This window comes from Homo sapiens, chromosome 7 (assembly GCF_000001405.40).
Source record: "Homo sapiens chromosome 7, GRCh38.p14 Primary Assembly".
Lineage (NCBI taxonomy): Eukaryota > Metazoa > Chordata > Mammalia > Primates > Hominidae > Homo > Homo sapiens.
Genome location: NC_000007.14, coordinates 54,816,474 through 54,828,524, shown reverse-complemented (window position 1 = coordinate 54,828,524; position 12,051 = coordinate 54,816,474).

Below are 12,051 nucleotides of genomic sequence, written 5' to 3'. Positions count from 1 at the left end.
AGGTCGAGAGTGTTGAAGTGTGAGAGGAACATGCATGGAGCTCTGCTTCGGCAAGTTTTAATTCACAGCAGGGAGAATTCAGAATGTCATAGAAACTGAAATCATTTAAAGGGATAAGAGGTTTCTTTGAATAATCTAGGTAGTTAGAATGCAAGCGAAGATGTGAAGAAAAAGGACAAATTGGAGAATCATGTTTGTGGTCATGTAGAATTGAATTGGGAAGGCCTGTCGATTAATGGAGCAACACTCGGCATTCAGTTTTCCTTCAATAAGAAGGCTACGTTCTCTCATGCTTTATGATGGCAGCAGTGTGTAAAGAACTTGGAACTAGTTCCTTCAAAACAGGCTCATTTTTTTAAACTTGTTTATATGAGTTAGTTTTATTTTACTTTTATTTTAGGTTCATGTTACAAAGGAAAACTTGTGTCATGGGGGTTTGATGTACAGATTATTTGACCATCCAGGTAATAAGCATAGTACCCGATAGGTAATTTTTTAATCCTCACCCTCCTCTGCCCCTCCACTCTCAAGTAGGCTCCTGGGTCTGTTGTTCCCTTTTTTGTGTCCATGTGTAGTCAGCGTTTAGCTCCCACTTATAAGCGAGAACATATGGTATTTGGTTTTCACTTCCTGTTTTAGTTTGTTTAGAATTATGGCCTCCAGCTCCATCCATGTTCCAACAAAGAACATGATCTCATTCCTTTTTATAGCTGCATAGTATTCCATGGTGTATATGTATCACATTTTATTTATCTAGTCTACCACGGATGAGCATGTAGGTTTATTCCATGTCTTTGCTATTGTAAATAGTGTTGTGATGAACAAATGCATGCATCTATCTTTATAATGGAATGATTTATATTTTTTGGATATATACCCAATAATGGGATTACTGGGTTGAATGGTAATTCTGCTTTGAGTTCTTTGAGAAATCACCAAACTGCTTTCCACAATGGCTGAACTAGTTTATGTTCCCACCAGCTGTTTGTAAGCATTCCCTTTTCTTCACAAGCTCACCTGCATCTGTTATTTTTTTAATGTTTTAATAGCCATTCTGACTGGTGTGAGATGGTATTTCATTGTAGTTTTGACTTGCATTTCTCTAATAATTAGTGATGTTGAGCATTTTTTTCATGTTTCTTGACCACTTGTATGTCTTCTTTTGAAAAGTGTCTGTTCATGTCCTTTGCCCAGTTTTTCATGGGGTTGTTTTTTGCTTGTTGATTTGTTTAAGCTCCTTATAGATTCTTGATATTAGACTTTTGTCAGATGCATAGTTTGAAAATATTTTCTCCCATTCTGTAGGTTGTCTGTTCACTCTGTTGATAGTTTCCTTTGCTATACAGAAAAGCTCTTTTGATGAACTGGGTCCCATTTGCCAATTTTTGTTTTTGTTGCAGTTGCTTTTGGCATCTTTGTGATAAAATCCCTTATCCAGAATGGTATTTTCTAGGTTATCTTCCAGTGTTTTTATAGTTTTAGGTTTTACATTTAAGTCTTTACTCCATCTTGAGTTGATTTTTGAATACAGTATAAGGAAGGGGTCCAGTTTCAATTTTCTGCATATGTCTAGCCAGTTATCCCAACATTGAACAAGGAGTCCTTTCTTCACTGCTTGTTTTTGTCAACTTTATTGAAGATCAGATGGCTGTACATTCATGGCATTATTTCTGGGTTCTCTGTTCTTTTCCATTGGTCTATGTGTCTGTTTTTATACCAGTACCATGCTGTTTTGGTTACTGTAGCCCTGTAGTATAGCTGGAAGTCAGGTAACATGATGCCTCTAGTTTTGTTCTCTTTGCTTATGATTGCCTTGGCTATTTGAGCTCTTTTTTGGTTTAATATGAATTTTAAAATAGTTTTTCTAATTCTGTGAAGAAGGTAATTGGAGTTTGATAGGAGTAGCATTGAATCTGTAAACTACTTTGAGTAGTATGGCCATTTTAACAATATTGACTCTTTCTGTCTGTGAGCAGGGAATGTTTTCCATTTGTTTGTGTCACCTCTGATTTCTTTGAGCAGTATTTTGTAGTTCTCATTGTAGAGATCTTTCACCTCCCCGGTTAGCTGTATTCTTAGGTATTTTATTGTTTTTGTGGCAACTATGACTGGACTTGTGTTCTTAACTTGGCTTTCATGTTGGATGTTGTTGCTGGACAGGAATACTACTTATTTTTGTACATTAATTTTATATTCTGAAACTTTGCTGAAGTTGTTTATCAGCCTTAAGAAGCTTTTGGGCCTGGACTATGGGGTTTTCTAGATATGGAATCATGCCATCTGTGAACAGAGATAATTTGACTTCCTCGCTTCCTATTTGAATGCCTTTTATTTCGTTCTCTTGCCTGATTGCTCTGGCCAGGACTTCCAGTACTATGTTGAATAGGAGTGGCAAAACAGGCTTATTTCTGTAAGGAAACAGACTTTAAAGGAGTAATTTGCATCATAATAGAATCCCTTATAATGTTTCTTAACCAGGATGAGGTAACAACAATTCATTTTGCTTGAGGATCACTGTGAATTAATTGTTTAGATTATAACTGAGTATTATCAAGTTTTGAACTTCTTGCCAAAATTTAAGACTGAATTCTGCCTTTGAATACAATGACAGACTGATACTTGTTTTCCAAGGACCAAGACTGAAAGAAACATTATACAAATAGTAGTAGATATTTTTTATAAACATTCAGTGTGGCCTTACCATGCCATACTGACCTTCATCTTTGACCTGCAGAGAAATGTGGCTTATGGTGGTGTGATGTGAAGCCAGAGGAAGCAGCAGCGGAGGCTGCGTGGAGGAGCAACTCACTGTGCTAGAATTACCTGGAGAGTTTTTGAAAAGCAGAGATTCCTAGAACCTACTTGCAGGGGTCCTGCCTCAGTGTGCCTGGTGTGAACCCTGGGCATTGGTGTTTAGAGAAGCTTTGCAGAAGCTTTCTGTGGTGCTGCCCAGTCTCTTGCTCACTCCCCCTGCTGATGAAGCTGTCCTAAAGGCCTGGTTTGTAGAAGGAGAAAGTCTCCTTTTATATTTTTCTTTAGGTTTATTAAAACTTTCTATCAACCTGGAATCAAACTAGGCTTTTTTCCTGGAAAAAAATTTGCTCTTTATTCACACGTTTATTCATTCAACAAATATTTATTTAGCAAGCCTTTTTAAAAAGATACAGCGATCACTTTTAAGACTCATGGGTCAGTTCTTTCATAATGTTTATATTCCAGTGGGGGAAGATTCTTTCAATCAGAAAGAATGAAAGGAAGGAAGGAAGAAAAGAAGAAAGGAAGGAAAGAAGAAGGAAGAAGAAAGAAAAAAAGAGAAAAGAACAGAGGAAAAGGGAAAAGAATAGAGGAAAAGGGACCATAAGGAGAAATATGGCTAAAGGAGTGTTTACTTTCAAAAGAAATATCTCCTGCACACAAACGTGTGTGTAGGAGAATGGTATATATTGGTGCAGTGTTCCCTAGTGAGAGGCAGCCTGGCTTGTATCATGTGTAGACCTGAAGGGAGGATGAGAGTGTGGCTACTTGAATCCAGAAAGAAGCTGAATCCTGTACAGTCGGCTATTTGTAGAGAAGTTGCATCCTTAGATAGAGGGATAGAGCCTGGTATAAACTGGAAAAAATTATTCCCAGCACATATATCTGATAAAGGATATATATACAGACTATACAAACCAGTCTTGCAACTCAATAATAGAAAAATAACCTAACAAATTTGGCCATTTCCCCAGTAAGTACACAAAAAGGTGTTTAAGAACATTACTCATCAGAAAACACAAATTAAAATCATGACTGATCCATTAGAAAGGCTCTTTTTAAAAAAATCAAGCAATAACAGATAATAGCAAGCATGTAGAGCAAGTGGAACTTCATACATGGCAGGTGGGAATGTGAAATGGTACAACTGCTTTGGAAAATATTTTGGCTGTTTCTCCTAAAGTTAAACATACACTTGTCAAAGGATGCAGCAATTCCTCACCAAAGCATTCCCTCACTGCCCCCAAAATGAAAACTATTTCCATATAGAGATGCATATAACTTGAATGTGCATTGTAGCTTTACTTATAGTAGCCAAAACCAAGCATGACCCTAATGTCCACCAAGAGGTGAATAAATATACCATTTGTGGTATAGTCACATAATGTAATACTACACAGCAATAAACATGAAACAAGCAAACTAGTACGGCATGCAATTCCAAGGATGACTTTCAAAAACATTTTGCTGAGTGAAAGAAAACAGACATTGAAAAGCCCTTACATAGAATTTTAATCCACAGGACAGGATAAAGTCTTATAGGGAGATTATGTAGATAGGGAAGAAAATGAGTCCAGTATTAATTTTAGAGTTTCCCAGTATTTCCAGGCCAAGCAGAAAAAGATGATCCAAAAAAGGAGGCTATGGAGATACAGCCCAAGGGATAGGAGGAAATCAGGAGGGAGTGGCACCACTGAAATCAAGAGCAGAAGGAAGTGGTGGCCGTCCTTGTCTGCTGCTGCTGAAAGAGCAAGTGAAATCAGAACAGGGAAGTGACCACTGGATATAACAAAACGGGGCACATTGGTGACCTCCACAAGAGCTGCCTCAGTGAAGAAATGGGGAAACAGTGTGACTAGAAATGTTAGCAGAGGAAATGTGATGAGAGGAAGTGGAAATGGCAGCTCCTGACAACACTAGCCAGCCGTTTTGAATTGAAGGACTGCGTAGAAATAGGCACAAGCTCATGCGGAACAAAGGGAGGTTAATTTATGTATTATTAGCTTGTGTTTTGCTTGTTTGTTCATTTTAGAATTGGAGACACCAGCCCATGGTTGTATATGGGAATGATCTGACAAAGAGAGAGAAAGAGAAGTAGATGACTCAGAAGAAAGTATAATTGCAGAGGGAAATAGAATGGAATTGCAACAGAATGAAGTTAATTAAAAATACATAGTGTCCTTTTAATGTATTGCTTTCCAATTAAATATTTACTTTTTAATACAAGTATTACACCAAAGTCCCCTTATCAATCATCTTCCAGAAAACTTTGATCTCAGTTACCTTTGGTTTATTCATTGTATAAACACCAATTTGATTTTACTTGCTGGAACAAGTAAGAGGGAGAGTTGGAAAATGAATTGATGCAAGGGCTCTTATGGAATTAACAAAGAACAGGAAAGAACACTGCCAGAGAACTAAGTGACAACTGTCTTTCTCAAGGCAACAGGGAGATAACCATGAAAAAATCAGATAGAATAAACACAAGAGACAGCTACACTCATGTATACTTTAGCAATGATCACTTGTATAATATTTATAAATAACCAAAATGCAACAAAATTGGAAAGAAATAAACGTTTAAATAGAAAAAGCAAGCGAAGGCAAATTTAAAAGGTAAATGACAAAAAAAAAAAAGAAAAAAAGAAACAACATGGTCCACAAAGGGATAATAAACTTGTAAAAGCTGTAACAAGTAAATAAGAAAAAAATGGAATCAATGATTGTTTAATGAATAGAAACGTGAAGTTACTCATAAAAAAGAAATAGAAATAGTATGAAAAGGACCTTTTATTTACTACTGATGGAAGTGTAAGTTTGGGTGACTTTTCTGTAGAACTAATTACTACTATAAATCAAAAGCCTTAAAATGCCCTTAAAAGTTGACCCAATAATTCAATTTCAGGAGTTTTCCTGGAGAACTAATCAGATCTATCTATAATGATTTTATGTACAAGAGTGTCTGCTATAGGAAAAAAGGGAATAAATGTTCCAAGCATTCAATATGGTAAGATTCTACAGGAACATTATAAAATTATACTGTGGTGAAATATTCATGCCGTGTTATGAAGCAGAAAAAGGCATTTCACAAAGCAATATATACAATATTATCTCATTTCAATGTATTTTACATATGCTGGTAACAATGAAAAGTATATGTGACTAAATATTGATAACAGTTATTGCTGTATTATGGAATACAGTTAATTTTTACTTTTATTGTGCTTTCATATTTCTCTCCAAAGTGTTAGAATCATAAAAAATGCCACTTTAAAAATATTAACTTGTGTATCTATTTTAAAATCCAATATCTCAAATAACTATTGAATTAAGGAGGAAAAATAAAAATAATGAGAAAATAACATACTCTTTAGCTTTCACTTTGCCACAGTCATAGATGTCTTTATTATTCTGAATAAAAGGAGGAAAATAAATAAACTGCCCAACCAAGAAACAAGTGTCAACAAAGACATTTTTAAGAGAACAGGAACAAGAACATAATAAACCTAAACTAGAAATAATTCAAATAAACACAATATATGTAATAATTAATAAAAATTTATTTTATATGATGACTGAAAGTTTTGTAACAAATCTAGTAAAGAAAAAAATGAAAGCGCATATATGTAAAGAGAATTTTTAAGTTTACAAATTATAATATAATATATCATATAATCTCAATTTGTACATGTGTGATGTATGTGTAAACACAAAGACCTGAAATGAAAACACTAAAATGTTAACAATTGTTCTCTCTCTGTGATGGTATTACAAGTTATTTGTTGTATGTTTATATTTGTGTTTATTTCCCAAATTTTACCATGACAAATATTTAAATTATATTTTAAAATAACATTATAAACACTTCTTCCTAACAGAATGCAACTATATTTCTCATACAGATGAATACAAGTTCACTCTTTCCCCAAAGCAGGGAGCACAGAGTGGACCCCTGCGAGGAGGCGGCTGCAGCCACTGCATTCATCCCAGGGTGATGTTAAGTCCTCGTCTCTTTTAGTCACCATTGTATCTTGGACATTCTATAATCTAAAGGCTAGGTTGTAAAATTAACCACCAACACTCAGTGTTATGTACAATAAGAAAGGAAGAAAATGTGTGTAGCTGCTACAGTTTTTATTTTGGTAATAAAACTAGTTGAGGGGTTAAAAAAATAACATTATAAGATACTTGAAAATACAAATTATAAGTAAATACTCCATATAATTATAAATAATTGATTAAAATGTCTAAAAGAAATGGAAAATACAGAAAATATAGATGATCAAATATTAAGCATGATATATTTAATAATTACAGATAAAGATACCAATTTCTTAACAACAGTATTTCTGAATCATAAAATTAGATAATTTAAAATGTCTTTGCTTCATCTGAATTTTCTACAAGAGACTCATACCACTTTTTTTTTTTTTAACTGAGTTTCACTCTATTGCCTAGGCTGGAGTGTGGTAGACAGATCATGGTTCACTGTGGCCTAAACCTCTTGGGCTCAAGTGATCCTCCTACCTCAGCCTCCCAAGTAGCTGGAACTACAGACGCATACCACCACTTAAATTTTTTTAGTTTTTATAGAGACAGAGTGTTGCTATGTTGCCCAGGCTGGTCTCAAACTCCTCAAGTGATCCTCCCACTTCAGCCTCCAAAGTGCTGGAATTGTAGTTGTGAGCCACTGTGCCCAGCCATGACACATATCACTTTTTAATAAAGGAAAATAGTATTTATTACTCCAAACAAGAAGGAAAAGTAAATAATGTGATTCCTTTTAAAAAACACATTGTATATTCTTACTTGTAAGTAGGATCTAAACATTGAGTACACATAGACACAAAGAAGGGAACAGTAGACACTGCGGCCTGCTTAAGGGTGGAGGGTGAGAGGATGGGGAGAACTGAAAAACTACCTATGGGGTACTATGCTCACTACCTGGATGATGAAATAATTCATACACCAAACCCCAGTGACATGCAATTTACTCATGTAACAAACCTGCACTCGTAACTCTGAACCTAAAATAAAAGTTAGAAGAAAAAAATACTGAAAGAAAGTAAAAATAGCAAAAACTTCCCAAAACACCAATGTCAATGTTTTCAAAATTCTATCCATTTCCTCAAAAGCTACATTTGTATGTATGTATAGTTAGTATTGATGGTGAAGGTGCTCAAACTGTCAAGAAATGAATAAATCCCATTCCATATAAACAGTCTCACAGAGCAGTAAAAGTTACTGTGTGTAATTCAGTTTTCACACATAAGCATTGCAAGTGTAAATCTCAGTTCACAGCTTTGACCATGCGAGAAATGAAAATTTTTGTTTTTCTTTTTCAATTCAGGATGGCAGCATTTTAATCCTGGTTTCCTCAGGATTCTGCTTAAATTCTATGGAGTTTACTAGGTACCACAGTGTCACAGGTGACTATTTGATTTAGCCCTCAATGACACTTATTAATGGAGGTATTGATTGATTGATTCATTATCTGCTGTGTTCTAGGCAGCTGGTGGCATGTCCATTGCCTAGGCAGTTAGTTGTGTATGGGGCCTTCCCTCTTCCCCACCTGCATGGTCTTTTGGGGTTTAGTGGTTCTCTCTGCCACTCCCATACTGCTCCAGTGTGCTTGGGGATTATTCTGCTCTTCCTGGATCTTGCTGTCTCTCCAGAAAACACTGAATGTCTCAGATCCACAAATCAGCCTGGAGTTTCTGTCTTCCCCCTGGGGCATGGTCTGGGAAGGAGTGTGCGAGGTCACTCTTTCTTGGTCCTACTGATATTTTCATCTCAAAGTTTCCTTTCAACTCTATATATCTCCCTAATTTAAGGAACAATAATCTTGGTCGAGAATCCTTGCTGTTAATACTTTTCTTACCATCCCATAAGAACTTTCCTCTCCTTAAGGGTCCATTTTTTTCTCTCATTTTTGATACCTCATGCCTGTTCTTAAGGTAATGAGCACAGGTGGCCAGGGCATGACTGTGGGAGAGGGTCAAGGGAAATATTGAGACAATAAACTCTTCATATTGCAAAAATAGTTCCAATTATAAAAATGTAACTGGCCGGGCATGGTGTCTCACTCCTGTAATCCCCGCACTTTAGGAGGCCGAGACAGGCGGATAGCCTGAGGTCAGGAGTTCGAGACTAGCCTGGCCAACATGGTGAAAACCCGTCTCTACTAAAAAATACAAAAATTAGCTGGGCGTGGTGGCAGGTGCCTGTAATCCCAGCTACTTGGGAGGCTGGGGCAGGAGAATTGCTTGAACCTGGAAGGTGGAGGTTGCAGTGAGCTGAGATCATGCCATTGCTCTCCAGCCTGGGCAACAAGAGTGAAACTCCATCTCAAAAAAACAAAAAAAAAGTAACTGAGATAGCACAGATAAAAATGGAGTAGACTACTCAGGAGGCTGAGGTGGAAGGACTGCTTGAGCCCAGGAGTTCAAGGCTGCAATGAGCTGTGATTGTACCATTGGACTCCAGCCTGGGTGACGGAGTGAGACCTCAACTTGAAAAAATAAATGGAGTTGAACAAGCAGAAGAAAGAACTTCAGTGCTCAAAGACAAGGCTTTCAAATTAACCTAACCCATCAAAGACAAAGAAAAAGGAATTTAAGAAAATGAACAAAGCCTCCAAAAAGTTTGGGACTATGTTAAACATCCAAACCTAAGAATAATTGGTGTTCCTGAAGAAAAAGAGAAATCTAAAAGTTTGGAAAACATATTTGAGGGAATAAGTGAGGAAAAGTTGCCTGGCCTTGCTAGAAATCTAGATATTCAAATACAAGAAGCTCAAAGAACACCTGGGAAATTCATCACAAAAAGATAATTGCCTAGGCACATAGTCATCAGGTTACGTAAAGTCAAGACAAAGGGAAGAATCTTAAGAGCTGTGAGGCAAAAGCATCAGGTAACCTATAAAGGAAAACCTATCAGATTAACAGTAGCTTTCTCAGCAGAAACCCTACAAGTTAGAAGGGATTGGGGTCTTACTTTTGGCCTCCTTAAACAAAACAATTATCAGTCAAGAATTTGTATCCAGTGAAACTAAGCTTCATAAATGAAGGAAAGATGCAATCTTTTCCAGACAAACAAATGCTGAGAGAATTCCCCACTACCAAGCCAGGACTACAAGAACTGCTAAAAGGAGCTCTAAATCTTGAAACAAATCCTCAAAATACACCAAAATAGAACCTCCTTAAAGCATAAATCTCACCTATATAACAATAACATGATAAAAAAAGGTATTCAGACAACAAATAGCACAATGAATAGAACAGTACCTCACATTTCAATACTAACATTGAATGTAAATGGCCTGAATGCTCCACTTAAAAGATACAGAATTGCAGAATGGATAAGAATCCACCAACCACGTTTCTGCTGTCTTCAGGAGACTCATCTGACACCTAAGAACTCACATAAACTTAAGGTAAAGAGGTAGAAAAAGATATTCCATGTCAATGGACTCCAAAAGTGAGCAGAAGTAGCTATTCTTATATCAGACAAAACAAACTTTAAAGCAATGGCAATTAAAAAAGACAAAGAGGGACATTATATAATGATAAAAGGATTAGTTCAACAGGAAAATACCACAATTCTAAATATATATGCACCTAACATGGGAGCTCTCAAATTTATAAAACAATTACTACTAGACCTAAGAAATGAGATAGACGGCAGCACAGTAACAGTGGGGGACTTCAATACTCCTCTGACAGCACTGCACAGGTCATCAAGATAGGAAGCCAACAAAGAAACAATAGACTTAAACTACACCCTAGAACAAATGGACTTAACAGATATTTACAGAACATACTACCCAACAACTGCAGAATACACATTCTATTCATCAGTACATGGAATATTCTCCAAGATAGACCATATGATAGGCACAAAACAAATCTTGGCAAATTTAAGAAAATCAAAATCATATCAAGTAATTTCTCAGACCACAGTGGAATAAAATTCGAAATCAACTCCAAAAGGAACCCTCAAAACCATGCAAATACATGGAAATTAAATAACCTGCTCCTGAATGATCATTGGGTCAACAATGAAATAAAGATGAAAATTAAAACATTCTTTGAAATGAATGATAGTAATGACACAACCTATCAAAACCTCTGGGATACAGCAAAAACAGTGCTAAGAGGAAAGTTCTGTGAACCTCAAAATTTGAGACAGGTCTCAGTTAATTTAGAAAGTTTATTTTGCCAAGGTTGAGTACACTCCCGTGACACAGCCTCAGGAAGTCCTGATGACATGTGCCCATGGTGGTAAGGGCACAGCTTGGTTTTATACATTTAGGGAGATATGAGACATCAATCAATACATGTAGGAAGTACATTCGTTTGGTCTGGAAGGTGAGACAACTTGAAGCAAAGGCAGGAAGACGAGAAGCAGGGAGGGAGCTTCCAGGTCACAGATAGGTCATACAGGATTACATTCTTTCAAGTTTCTGATTAGCCTTTCCGGAGGAGGCAAATCAGATATGCATCTAGCTCAGTAAGCAGAGGAGTGACTTTGGATAGAATGGGAGGCAGGTTTGCCCTAAGCAGTTTCCTTAGTTGAGTTTTCCTTAGTGATTTTGGGGGTCCGAGATATTTTCCTTTCAGTTCATAGCGTTAAATGCCTACCTCAAAAAGTCTGAAAGAGCAAAAGCTGACAGTCTAAGGTCACGTCTCTCAGAACTAGAGAAGAAACAAGAAAATCCAAACCCAAACCCAGCAGAAGAAAATAAATAACCAAGATCAGAGCAGAACTAAATGAAATTGAAACAACAACAACAACAACAACAAAAAAAACAAAAGATAAATGAAACAAAAAGCTGGTTCTTTGAAAAGATAAATAAAATTGATAGCCCATTAGAAAAGAAGAGAGAAGATCCAAATACACTCAATTAGAAATGGAACAGGAGATATTACAACTGACACCACAGAAGTACAAAAGATTATTCAAGGCTACTATGAACAGCTTTATACACATAAACTAGAAAACCTAGAGGAGATGGATAAGTTCCTGGAAATATAAAATCCTCCTAGATTAAACCAGGAAAATATAGAATGTCTGAACAGACCAGTAACAAGCAGTGAGCTTGAAATGGTAATTTTTAAAATGCCAATTTAAAAAGGTCCAGGACCAGACGGATTCACAGCTGAATTCTATCAGATATTCAAAGAAGAATTGGTACCAGTCCTATTAACACTGTTCTAAAAGATAGAGAAAGAGGGAGTCCTCCCTAAGTCATTCTATGAAGCCAGTATCACCCTAATACCAAAACCAGCAAAGGAC